The sequence below is a fragment of the Homo sapiens genome, chromosome 17 (genome assembly GCF_000001405.40).
Source record: "Homo sapiens chromosome 17, GRCh38.p14 Primary Assembly".
Lineage (NCBI taxonomy): Eukaryota > Metazoa > Chordata > Mammalia > Primates > Hominidae > Homo > Homo sapiens.
The window spans coordinates 60,036,636-60,050,166 of NC_000017.11; the positions used below are offsets into that span (position 1 = coordinate 60,036,636).

Below are 13,531 nucleotides of genomic sequence, written 5' to 3' on the forward strand. Positions count from 1 at the left end.
TGTTTGGATTTACATTTAATATTTTATTGTGTTTTCTATTTGTTCTCTATTTTTCCCTGTGTTTTTCATTCCTGTTTTGACTTTTCCTGCCTTCCTTTGGATTATTTGAATTTTTTGGAATTCCATTTTAATTCACTGATTTTTTTAACCATATCTTTTTGTGTAAGTTGAAAATGTAGTTGCTTTAGGGATTACAAAACACCTAGGTTTTCATAGTCTATTTAGGTTATATATTTAGTGCTTCACGTGAAATGTAGAAACCAGCCTGACCAACATGGAGAAACCCGGTCGCTACTAAAAATACAAAATTAGCCGGGTGTGGTGGCACGCACCTGTAATCCCAGCTACTCGGGAGGCTGAGGTGGGAAGATTCCCTTGAGCCCAGGAGTGTCTTCAGGAAATTAAGGTTCTCTCTGTTCTCTACAGGTCAAGTAGTTATGGACGGTATCCTGAACATTCTAATTTTGTGTTATGAGAATCTGGGCCATGTTGGAATCCTGTGTTTTTGCTTTGGCAGGCAATCGTCCTGGTTAGGTTCAGTCACAAGTTCCCACCTGCCTCCTGCGGGTTGTGGTTCAATATCAATTAAGCTTCAGAGCCTTTGCCGCGCTGTTCAGATCCGCCCCGTGTGTGCGCCACCCAGTGGCGGGTACGAGACTGGACAGTGCCTTGTCCCACCGTTCAGTTCTCAAAGCCTTTGTTCAGATCCACACATGGAATGCCTGGGCATGAGCCCAGGAGTTCACATACAACTTTAGGGTATTGCCTTCTTGCGTTCCCTCCTCTCTGAAATCTCAACACTTTACAGTCTCAGGGGTCCCTCTTTCCGGTCCTCTGGCTAGAAAGTCAGGGTTTTAACTGTACTGCTCTGCCCTACAGTTTCTGTGACTGTCTGCCTCCACGGCCAAGCATGGAAGGTTGTGTAAAGAGAAAAAAGCCATGGGCATGACTCCCTTGCTGTTGGGACCATTCTTCCTCTGGCAGAGAGATGAGTTTCCTTCCCTTGAAGTTCTAGGCACCTGCCTGGCTGCCACTGCTGCAGTGAGATTGCCTAGGGGCTGGTGTGGGGAGAAAAGAGACAGCAAACACAGGATTTCCCCGCTTTTGCTGACCTATAGGGGTGCTTACCTCTCTCCTAAGGTCAGAAACAGAGGCTCAGAGCTCTTTCTATCTGCATCTGGTATGCAATTCCAGGTTTTGGTTCATCTTTGAGTCCAGGCCAGGAGACCCCAGAGGGGGAATAAAATGGCAGACTTACTGCCACTTTGGTGGTGTTTAGAGTTCTCTTTTCCTTCCCTGATCTTCCTGCTACCACCTTGTTTTCAGAGCTAGCTGCTCCATGCCTGTGGTCCAGGATTCATAGTAACATTCAGTGGGAAAGACAGGACGGAGTATGACTGGAATGAGAATGGGAGAAGAATTTTTATTTAAAAAACAAAAGCATGGATTTTTAAAGGTTGAAAAATGCACACTAATTGGGGGAGAAATTTCTCTTTCCCTCCACAGTGTGGTAGCTGTAAGCCTGATTCCTGGCTTGAATTTTTTTATTCACTTTTCCAGATGACCTTTAGAATCATTTTGTCCTTAAATTAGCCAGGTGTGGTGGCACACACCTGTAATCCCAGCTACTTGGGAGGCTGAGGCACAAGAATTGCTTGAACCCATGAGCAGAAGTTGCAGTGAGCCAAGATAATATGACTGCACTCCAGCCTGGGTGACAGAGTGAGATTCTGTCTCGAAAAAAAACATCATTTTGTCCTTTAAAAAATTCTAATTTTGATGGGAATTTTATGAAATGTATAGATTTGGAGGAAAGTAGCCTTTTAATAGATTGAGTCCTTCAGTCTAGTAATGATATATCTTCTCATTTAAAAAAATCTTCTTTTATGACCACTGGTAAAAGTTTTTATTTTTTTTCCTCAGAATCCTTGCATAAGCTTGGTTAAATTTATTCTCAGGTATTTTTATTATTAAAATTTTTATTAAAAATCAAATTGGTTATTGCTGATATATAGAAGAGCTACTGATTTGGCATGTTTACTTTGTAACCAGCTGCCTTACAGAACTTTTATTGGTTTTTTTACTTTCTGAATATTGGTTTAATTACTTTCTGAATTTTGGTTTTATTACTTTCTTGGTTTTCTGCACACAAGGATTTGTGAATCCAATCACTCAGACTGGTTTTCTGCAAATAATGATAATTTGGAACCTCTTTTTGAAAAAAAACTTTGAAAATTTTGATTTTTGGTTTATTGAATCACATTGGCCATTAAAATTTCTTGTACAGTATTAGGTAATATTGGTGATATCATTCTTGCTTGTCTTGGTTCTGAGTTTTAGGGAAGTCCCTATTAAGATAGGTATATTTCATTATGCTAATGAATTATCTTTTTGAATTCTTTTTTAAAAATAATTTTGATCAGAAAAGGATACTGCATTTCGTCACTCTTCCAGCATCCATAAAGATGACCATTTGTATTTTCTTATTTGACCCACTAATGTGATTGCATTTTATTAATAGGACTTTCCTGCATTCCTACAGCAAATCCTGGTTGGTCATGGTGGAGACTGTAAAGCAATCATTCTCAAGGAGGGGCTTTTTCACGCAGTATGCCTGGAGAGAGGCTGCACCACCACCGCGTTCCTCCCCGATGAGTCCAGTGAGCCACGGCTGCGGGCTACGGTGTTGTGGTGCTCGGGTGTGTTGGAAGGAAATGGTAATTGAATGAGTGCTCATTTTCCAAGACTTTGGCCCCACCCCTAATATAATGTCCATGTTCCTGGAGCTGAGGATGCCTTCAGCCTAGGCTTGAGGACTCAAGGTGTGTACTAGAACCAGACAGACATTCTCCAATATCCCACTCTAGGGATCTTACTCCAATGAGAAGCAGAGAAATGCTAGCCCCGGGAGAAGACCTAGGAAAAGTGTAACAAGAGGCACCATCTGTCACTGAGCCCCTCTCTCTATGCCAGGCTCCGAGCCAGGTGCTTTACATTATGGGAGCTACTCCTGAACAACTGTGTGAGATACTGGTATCCCTTTACAGATAAGTGGTCAAGTGACTGCCCAAGGGTGTAGTCATTAAGTAGAGGAGTTGCCCTTTAAAACCAGGAGTAATTCCTGAGCGTGTGCAAGCTGGAGATGTGATTCCTGAAGACTGGCTCGCAGAGATGGGTCATGAGGCAGAACCAAGACCTACTCCCCTACTTCCCTGTTCAGTTTGTGTGGCCTCTCCCACTTCTAGTCCCTTCTCTTTCCTGGGAGGGACCCATGGGGGCTAGACAGAGGGCTGTTCCTAGTAGGATAGAGAGGTCCTGCAGCAGCGCCTCTTCCTCACTGCTTATCTTTCTGATCCAGGTTCCCGAGGCATGCCAGCTAGCACCTGACCTACAAGATTCCAGCTGTTTAACTGCCATCACAAAGGCTCATGATGTGTTGACAGTATTTCTGCCTGCTGCTCTGAAAATTCAAGGAAATAAATACCTGACATTTATTGAATGCCAGAAGCTGTTCTAAGAACTTTCTATGTATTATCTATTTTAGTCATTATAATATCCTTATGAAATAGGCACTTTTATCCCCATTTTACAGATGAATAAAATAAGGCACAGAAGGGTTAAGCAACTTTCACAGGTAGAAAGCTGCACAGCCAGGATTTAAGCCCAAGCTCTTAACCACTGCACTACATCAATGCAGCAAAGGCTGAATGAACCAGAGTATTTGATTTACTTAGCTCTTATGCTGGAAAGATGGTGAGGCTTTTGCTCATGGTCTGTATTCAAGCACAAATACCAAAATCAAGGACACCTTTGCATTGGTGCTCCATAGGAGGTTTCCTTTTTTGTTGTTTAGAGAGAAGGTCTTACTCTGTTGCCCTGGCTGGAGTGCAGTGGTGCGATCACAGCTCACTGCAGCCTTGACCTCCAGAGCTCAAGCAATCCTCCACCTCAGCCTCCTGAGTAGCTGGGACTATAGGTGCGCACTTCCACACCCAGCTAATTTTTAATTTTTTTTTTTTTGTAGAGACCGTCTCCCTATATTGCCCAGGTTGGTCTAGAATTCCTAGGGCTCAAGTGATCCTCCCGCCTTGGCCTATTGGGATTACAGATATGAGCCATGGCACCCAACCTCAGAAGAGGCGCTTTTCTTGAGTTCTGGAAGGGGATAGGAATTAATGTTTTGTTTGTTTGTTTGTTTTTTACTCGTCACAGAAAAGGTTCAAAGAGTAAGATAAGCAACGTCTCATAATGCTGTAGTCTAATGGACAAGGGCCCTAGCCATCTGTGCCTGGATGACTCTTCCTCCCAATTTTTAAGTGTCAAAAGATAATTTAGAATCTGGCATTCTGCATTAGAAATCTGAACCAGTGGAGCTGTGTGCTGATTTTCATCAGCTTAAGTTGTCTTTATTGTCAGTGGCTTCCTTTCCCCACAGCAGCTTTATGGAGGCACGTGCCCAGGCATATGAGGAGCTTCTGTCCTTTAGTGTATGTACACCCACAATGCTGCAGAGAAGAGAATCAGCATACTGTTGGGACACAGCAGGTACCACTGCCTTCTGAAGTTTCTAGAGGTGCTATGCCTTCATTGTTTTCCTGCACATGAACATTAACATCCACATCAGGATCTGGAAACCTTTACAGAAGCTGAAGTTTTAAAAAGAAAATGAATGGGATTTTATTCAAGATAAGGAAAGGATAAGAGTGAATCATCAAATGAAACCATGAGGCCACTTCACAAATATTTTATCAAAAAACTCACCTGAGAAAACTCAAAGAATCACAGTAATAAGCTGTCTATGCCATATTTTTTTTTTCCTTTTTTGAAAATGCCAAGAAGCTACTACTAAGAATGTATTCAAGAGACGGAAGTTCCAAGATTCATCACAGGGTCAGGTGGGCTCAACTTAGTTTCCTGGGCCCTCTATAACACTTCATGTTCAGAATTGTCTCCAAATAAAAGCAATTTAAGGGAACATTCAATATGGGTGTCTTTGCTGTGCTTGCAGTCTTAATTCTGTGGACACTGATATTCTATCAATGGAAAATTGAGCCTTTAGTGAACTTGAATACCCTGTTCCCCAATCACTGCCCAGAGAGCAGTTTCTGAGCAGCCAACATGTCAGAGGCAGGAAAACAGCAGCTAAAAGGCAAAGGAGAAAAATGGAAGACACCTGCCTTTACACGTGTATTTTAAGCTAAATAACCATGATAAAATATCACCAACACCCATTTTTTGTAACTTCTTAATTGTCCCACATCAAAGATAAGTATGGACAACTGTAATTGGTTCTTATATATCCCTAAATTCCTAATTGAAATCAATTCCAATAAATCGTTGGTGCTCAGTAGAAAAATGCAAAATTTAAATATATATATTCAGTAGAAGTTACCTTCATAACTTGTGGGGCATTATCAAAATATAATTGGAAACCCCTCTTTGTAACCAACTAACCAAATGATCTTTTCTTAAAGGCACAAATTAAAAGGTGGCAAAACAACCATATATTTAGTGTGTGGGATCACATTCTCCTAAAGAGCATCAGGAAATGTAGGTAGAAGTCAATGTTGTAGCCTAGGTTAGAAGGCCCTGCTTGCTGGGAGTTAACTCTGGTTATTGGATTGTGGGGAGGTGTGGCAGGGAAGGTGGTCAGGGGAACACGGGCACTCCAGAAGCTCGGAGCAGCAGCTCATCAGCTGTGAGGCACCGTCAGCATCCTTGCGTCCTGTGTGGCTGTGAGGCACTGTCAGCATCCTCGCGTCCTGTGCGGCTGTGAGGCACTGTCAGCATCCTCGCGTCCTGTGCGGCTGTGAGGCACTGTCAGCATCCTCGCGTCCTGTGCGGCTGTGAGGCACTGTCAGCATCCTCGCGTCCTGTGCGGCTGTGAGGCACTGTCAGCATCCTCGCGTCCTGTGCGGCTGTGAGGCACCGTCAGCATCCTCGCGTCCTGTGCGGCTGTGAGGCACTGTCAGCATCCTCGCGTCCTGTGCGGCTGTGAGGCACTGTCAGCATCCTCGCGTCCTGTGCGGCTGTGAGGCACTGTCAGCATCCTCGCGTCCTGTGTGGCTGTGAGGCACCGTCAGCATCCTCGCGTCCTGTGCGGCTGTGAGGCACCGTCAGCATCCTCGCGTCCTGTGTGGCTGTGAGGCACCGTCAGCATCCTCGCGTCCTGTGTGGCTGTGAGGCACCGTCAGCATCCTCGGTCCTGTGCGGCTGTGAGGCACCGTCAGCATCCTCGCGTCCTGTGTGGCTGTGAGGCACCGTCAGCATCCTCGGTCCTGTGCGGCTGTGAGGCACCGTCAGCATCCTCGCGTCCTGTGTGGCTGTGAGGCACTGTCAGCATCCTCGCGTCCTGTGTGGCTGTGAGGCACCGTCAGCATCCTCGCGTCCTGTGTGGCTGTGAGGCACCGTCAGCATCCTCGGTCCTGTGCGGCTGTGAGGCACTGTCAGCATCCTCGCATCCTGTGCAGCTGGGCCAGGACAAACTGGCTGAACTGCAGCTCTGCTTGCAGCTTGCTAGAAATACAACTTGGTAACAACAGGAGATTGTGGACACACTATTTTTCGTTAGTTTATTACAAAACTACAGATACAATACACAAAATTCTAATTCCGAAATCCTTCTACATTTTTTTTTTCTGAGACTAAATGCCCTCAAAGCCCGTCTGCTTGGCCTGTATTACAACCTGACTCCTCGGCTCCTGGATGCACAGGTCAGATGTTCCAACAACCCTGACCATGGCCAGTGCTATGGAGTCACTCCAAAGGTGGTTGAGCCCTCTGTGAAAATTTAAATGGCTGCTAAGTCATTCTAAATAAATAGTGAACGGATTGTTTCTGCCCCTAAGATGAAATCCCACAGATCTTATGCTCAAGCTCAGGTCTTCCTACTGCCGCCTTCGACATCTAGAAAGTATGGTGGGATCTTCACTGATTTGTTAACCCTGGGAGTGCCCCTTGTGATCCAGATGAGTCAAAACAAACGGCCAGGATCTCTTCTAAAAAGCCCATGATGGCCCTTCTGGCTGTGTCTCCAGTTGGTGCCTGGATGCTGCCCATGTGTTTAAGGGCCATTCTGACCATCTGGTCTCTTTCCTGTGGGCTGTGGGGTGCTCCAGTGTCATCTCCCTCTGCTCCTGATTTTAAAAACTGTAGAATATAGGACTGGACCATATTCCCACTCAGTTCAAGGGTTTCTTTCATACAAGGGAGGTCCGAGGCACTGGCCAAGCTCAAGAGGTGAATCAGTGCCTGGCAGATTTGGGTCCGTAGGCTGACACAGTACTTGAATTCCAAAAAGTCTATGGTGTCTTCACTCTTCTGTAAAGCGGTGACCAATGCATTCCAGATCCGAGCATACTGGTCAACAGACCCGTACTGCTCTCTCTTCCCCGGGACGGAAAGGGCAGCTGCAGATCTGATGCGCACTTTGAAGTTCTTGCATGATGTCACGACCGATGTCAGGGCATTGTAGGCCTGGGAGGTCCATGGGGCTGTCCCTAGAAAGAATCCACAGTCACTAAAACAAATGCAGGCTTAGAACTAGGTGGGGTGAGAGGGAGAGGGGTGGAAGGAAGCTTAAACACTAGTGCTCAAGACACTCATTTTATGTGTTCACTTCATTCTCACAATCATCCTGTAAGACAAGGGTGGTGACTGACTGTAGGATCCTAGGTAAGTGGCCAGGTGCCAATCCCCAAACCTCCCTCTTTCCCTACCTCAGCCTGCCACACGCTTAGAGCCTCTGCTACCCAATATAAAGCCTTTGGTGACTCAGAAAAAGGCTTCTTCTCTGGGAGGATTCTGTCCCGTTGGGGTATGGCTTTGTGGGCAGAGCGTGGACTGAACTGCAACCCCACCTATCCTCTCAGCTGGGCACTTCTGAGCTGTGTGCAAGCCACACACTGCATGCTCACCTGCAACAGCATCCAGACACTGCTCTGGCCATAGCCAGTCATGCATTTTATTGCAAAGAAAAAGAAAACTTACAATTTCAAGAATAAGATGCCCAGATTTCTATCTTTTCTCCACACCTGTAGGCCCTAGGAAATCAGCCTGCTTTCCTCCTTACCAGAGCTACTGCTACCCACTCCACTTTGGGGTGTCCTTACTCAAGATGGGTGACAGAGTAGAATGCAGCTTCTCTTAACTCTCCCAGCCCTTCCTGGCTTCTCTGTTGCCTCTGAAGACCGGCAAGCAGGCCCTTTCCATTTGGTGGATGCCAGTGCCATTGACAATGGGCCACTGCTAGAGCTATGAGACACTCACAATCCGACCCGTCAGAGTCCTTTATCAGTTTCTAGCTCCCTTTTCTTATGTGGCTCTTGATAGCTCTGCTACTGGATGCTTTCTAGTTCTCAAACTTCCTGCCTCTTTGGAGCTTCCCTTTCCCTCCAAGTCATGCAGGTAAACTTCTCTCTCTAGTAGGCTGAGGGCAAGGGCCATACAGGAAGGCTGGTAGGAGCCAACCACCACTGAGGTGCCCTGGTTTCAAGGACTTCTTGGCTCTCCAGAAGGCGGATAACCACCTCAATGGGCTCCAACCCAAAAGGTCACCCTTAGGTGACTTCCTCAATGGAAGAAGCCGGGAAGCTACCTTACATACTCCCAGCTGACTGGTCTGCCTGGACGCTCTGGGCAATAAAGGGGAGCAGAGCCAGACTCCCCTCACTTGATGTGTGCTCTCCTCTCCAGGAACACATCCTTAGGTCTCAGATCTGAGAGAGAGAGATGCAATAAAGCGAACGCTGGCATTCAAAGTGAGCGAGGTTTGGAGGCTCCGATCCATACACCTAAGCAGCTACTGGTCCTGAATGACATATCAAGGTGCATGGCATGCCACTACTTAGAGACAGATGCCCTCCTTACATTTATTAATGGCATCCACTTCTGTACACAGCTCATAGGGGATTTCCAGTTTATATTCCCTCTCATTCCAGTTTTTTTCCTTCCTGTTTTCTTGACCATTAAAGTAATATATGCTTATTGTAGACAACTGAGAAAATGAAAACAGAAAAAATCCTACCCATCCAGAGGCAATCACTGTTAATAATTAGTCCAATTTCCTTTCAGTCTTTTTTCTACCCATCTATTGAGATCATTCTGTAGAAATTATTTAATACCTGCTTTCATTTGTTTAACATCAGAAGTATTTTTCCAGATTATCAAATTCTTGTAAGTAATTTTAAATGGCAACAAAATATCCCATTATATATCCCATTGTATAGGTAATGATGTATTTCAATGTCCCCCTAAACTTGTCTTCAGTATGTCTCCATTTTTTCCTAATACTATGACAAATAACATGTGACAAACATCTTTAACAACAACGTAGATTGGTGTGTGTCCCAAGAGGCTTTCCACCAGGGAGTGAAGGGAAACTTTCTTACCTAAAGGAAGGGCAGGATTTTTAAATACATTTCCCATTGCATAACAAGCATTCCATCGGACTTTCATGGCAGCTTCTGTTAGAACAGTAGAAATTAGGGCCTGGATAGACTCCTCAATGATTTCTGCAAATGTGGGTTTTTCTATATGAGAGGGTTGCAGAAAATGAAGCAAATTTCCAAGGGCCCGGACTGCATTGCTTTTTACCTAGAAAAAATGTAAATGCTTTAGAAATCTGTTTGGCCAAAGAGATGTTTCCAAAAGTCTAATTTCAGCTTTAAAAAAACCCAGGAGGTCTTCAACTTCTTAAAGCAAGTCCTTGGAACTCACAAGGTCTGCTCTGGTTAACATCCTGAGCCATCAGAAATGTGAGGTTCTACAGAACTCCTCTCTCTGATTATTTATTTATTTATTTTATTTAGTGCTAGACAGGACCTCAGAGAGGTCCATCTTCCTTGTTTTACTGAGATGGAGTATAAGGACCGGGAACAACAGGACAAGGCTGATTGATAGCAAGACAATGAGGAGAAGCTAGGTTCCATAATTCCAGTCCAATACTTTTCTACTAGACTAGAGTCTCAACCTCTGCAGCCCATCAGAATCATTTGGGGAGGTTTCTCCTTTTGTTTTAAAACCGATTCGGAGGCCCTAACCTCAGAATTTCTGATTGAATTACTCTGAGGTAGGGCTTCCTGGGTGATTACCAGATTTTCAGAAGTAGTATTAAAGTGAGCACATGGTATGGGTCAGGTACTGTGCTAGGTGCTTTAACATAAGGCATCTTCATATCCAGTGAGGTATATAACTTCCATGTTACATGTGAGGAGCTGACCTTCAGAGAAGTTATGTAATATACCAAACTTACCCAGTTACTAAAGGGCGAGCCAGGGCTTGAATCCATGTATGTCTGACCTAAAGCCCAGACATGTGCTTTTTAAACTTATTAGTTTAACAGGTAATATTCAAAGCCAAGAGCTACTCATCTTTCTGACTTGTCAATTTTTTTTTTTTGGAAAATAAAAAAAAGTTAATTTTAAAAGGAATCTGAATATGTCATGTAGTATTACAATGGGCACTGATATTTTTCAGGAGGCAGGAGACAGTAAAGAAACCATACACGTGTGGAATGGGCCATTTATACCCTGAGCACACCCTCAGTCTCTTTTGAACAGGAGTACATTTGGTGGGACAGTCTGAGGAACATCAAGCCACACTGAACTACCACACTGCAGCTACAATACATTAACTATCTGTTTGGGAGATACTGGGTTTTGTTGTGAGTCTACCTTGTCTTTATCCTTGGATGCTTCTATAGCTGATCGTAACATTTTCAAGAGCAGGAGACCAGAGAACTCTTCCTGGAAACTTGGGTCTGGTGTTTCCCTGTTCCACCCAAAGCAGACAACACATGTTAAAAGGTAAATACACTTAAATATATACATATAGAAATATATTCAATTAGTATAAGCCTAAAAGTTTAGGAAAACAGTTTAACAAATCTGCTTAGATTATATCAAGAAACTTACATTATATATCTTTTGACCCAATAGTTCCCCACATAGGAATGTCTCAAAAAAAAAAAAATCTCAAAATGCAGATTTCATGCACAAAAATATTCCCTGAATATAAAAGCCTACAAGCCTAAAGACTAAAACAAATGTTCAGTAATAGAAAAATGGTTAATCATCACACAGTGATAATTATGTAATCATAAATAAGGATTTCTAACAAGTCAATAATAGAATGCTTACACATTTTACATGTTGCTTATACGCTGAAGTGACAAAAAGCAGGACACGTGCACATGAATAACCAGCTACCTCTGGGGAGGGGAACTAAGGTGTCAGGGTAGAAGAAAGGCTTCACACTGAATGCTGCTTTGTACTATCTGGATTTTTTTTAGCCTGTGAATATACTACTTTAAGAAATTTTTTTAAATGCATTTTAAAAGTACAGTAACCATTACTAAGGTTTTGCTTTTATGTTTTCTATAATGTAGACATATTACTTATATCGGCATACAGTATTTTTAATACATATATATCTTAATGCATTCCTAATATATATTAAGAACAGTTTATTAATTTTATTTTCTGAAGGAATATCAAACAAAAAAAGCAGGAAGACTGACTGCATAATATGCGGGAACTACTGCTGATTCTTTCATGGTAGAGATCGAGGACATTCTCTTGGGCCCTCAATCTCAGAAGTCAGCTGGGGAAAGCAAGCTCAGTCACCTACATGTTGACAATCAGAGTGTCTGTCAGGTTGCCCAGGGACCAGGCTGCTTTGGCTCGAACATTCAGAGACTTGTCTTCAAGTGACATCAATATTGCATTTGCTGCGTCTGCAACAAATATGACATCCTGTAACACAAAACAAAACACTGCAGTTACTTTAGCAGGTCATGCTGCTACCTTTGAAATTCTCACTTATTTTCAGATAAAGCTAGAAGCCTTCATGCACATTTCTACTTAGAAATAAAAATTCATCTACTCAATCAATTTACTGTTCTTATATTTTACAATTTGGACACTCAAAAAAATCCCAGGGGAAGCTCCCATAATTTTGGTATGTGCCATGGACACCCGAGGAGCCTATGGATTTTGCTGTTATGAACATCGAATATATAAGCTGGCCTGGGACAGTTATCTGTGAATTCTGTGCTTGGTTGATTTCCGTCTCGGGAAATAATGTTCTGAAAAAGAAATGCATTTCCAAAACACATCCTATGTACTACACATCACTCAGTGAGATAAATGTCACAAGTAAGAGTGAAAGAGGACATTATTTCCTTCTTAGTAAAAACTATGTCAGCTTTCTAAATGATGACTACCACCTGGTAATGACCCATTTCATTTTTATTAGATCATTCATTAATTTAAGCATTTATTGGGTGCCTAAGGTCCCAGGCTGTGTGCTAAGTAATTAAAAATTAAAAATAAATAACATATATATATAATATATATATATATATATATATATATATATATATATGGTAATGCCTTAGTTCATTTATATATATGGTAATGCCTGTAGTTATATATATATTTATGTATAACACTACATATATATATGTAGAGAGAGAGAGAGACAGAGAGTGTGTGTGTGTGTGTGTGTGTGTGTGTGTGTGTCTGGCTCTGCCACCCAGGCTGGAGTGCAGTGGTATGATCTCTGCTCATTACAACCTTCACATCCCAGGCTCAAGTGAGCCTCCCATCTCAGCCTCCCAAGTAGCTGGGACTACAGGTGCATACCACCATGCCTGGCTAATTTTTAAAATTTTTTGTAGAGACAGGGTTTTGCCAAGTTGCCCAGGCTGGTCTCAAACTCCTGAGCTCAAGCAATCCACCCGCCTTGGCCTCCCAAAGTGCTGGGATTACAGGCATGAGCCACCATGCCTGGCCCATGACCATATTTTAGTAGCAATTACAGATATCAGATTACAAAGCAATTTAGTTTCCTTTACCATCCAATGCAGGAGCTCTATATCCACAAAATAGGGGTGTCATGGACTACAAAAGGGGCACAGAAGAGCTAAATAGGCTCACTCTGACCTGTCTGAGACAGGGAAAAAGCACATAGACTCCCAGGGCCCGTGAAGTTGCAGCTTTCACTAAGCGATTCTTGCTGTCATTCAGCCCGAGCAGCACTGTGATGCACAGCATCTGCCTGTCATTCTGCAATGAGAAGGTTGACAAGGGAAAAATGAGAATGAAATAACTACAAGCCAAAGGCTTCCATAAAAGATGTGAAATATCTGTGTCTGAGACCATAATCAGGAGTTGAACACCATTGCGACCTTGAGGCTACCCTGGTAAAAAGCAGGTTCAATTCAGATTCCATAATTATCTGAGCACCCACTTTGTGCAAGACACACACAGCATCTCATCACATTTAACCTTTATTAAAGTTGCCTTCTTTATAGAAGCTCATTTATGTAAATAAGAATGGAGGCAAATGTCACTGAGGACCAAAGAAAAAAAGCAGTCTGAATACTGCTATTCTGAATAGCAGTATTCTGAATGCTTATGCTCCCCCAAAATTCCTATGTTGAAATCTTCACTCCCAGGATGATGGTATCAGGAGGTGGGGCTTTGGGAAGGAGATGAGGTCATGGGAACAGAGCCCTCATGAAAGAGAT

The 13,531-nt window shown here is 43.2% G+C and overlaps 1 protein-coding gene and 1 non-coding gene across 2 annotated transcripts in view, besides 2 other annotated features; both read right to left on the reverse strand.

Annotated features, from left to right (window-relative positions):
* Positions 386–515: an enhancer, noted in NCBI's record as "active region_12522". NCBI's record gives its function as "activates an Ori minimal core promoter by ATAC-STARR-seq in GM12878 lymphoblastoid cells {active_cell/tissue: GM12878}" and the evidence as "EXISTENCE:reporter gene assay evidence [ECO:0000049][PMID:35858748]".
* Positions 3,233–3,527: an enhancer, noted in NCBI's record as "tiled region #13687; K562 Activating DNase matched - State 23:Low". NCBI's record gives its function as "activates a minimal TATA promoter and a strong SV40 promoter by Sharpr-MPRA in K562 cells {active_cell/tissue: K562}" and the evidence as "EXISTENCE:reporter gene assay evidence [ECO:0000049][PMID:27701403]".
* Positions 4,373–13,531, reverse strand: part of HEATR6 (HEAT repeat containing 6) — a 37,914-nt gene continuing 28,755 nt past the window's right edge. The window contains exons 16-20 of the mRNA NM_022070.5: positions 12,945–13,067; positions 11,629–11,753; positions 10,674–10,770; positions 9,390–9,594; positions 4,373–7,499 (exon numbers count right to left, since the gene is read on the reverse strand). Of these exons, the coding sequence (NP_071353.4) occupies positions 6,928–7,499; positions 9,390–9,594; positions 10,674–10,770; positions 11,629–11,753; positions 12,945–13,067 (1,122 nt within the window). The 3' untranslated portion in view covers positions 4,373–6,927. The remainder of the gene's footprint in view (positions 7,500–9,389; positions 9,595–10,673; positions 10,771–11,628; positions 11,754–12,944; positions 13,068–13,531) is intronic.
* Positions 6,390–6,470, reverse strand: MIR4737 (microRNA 4737). Its single transcript, NR_039890.1, has one exon. It is a non-coding gene; the product is annotated as a microRNA 4737 (primary transcript).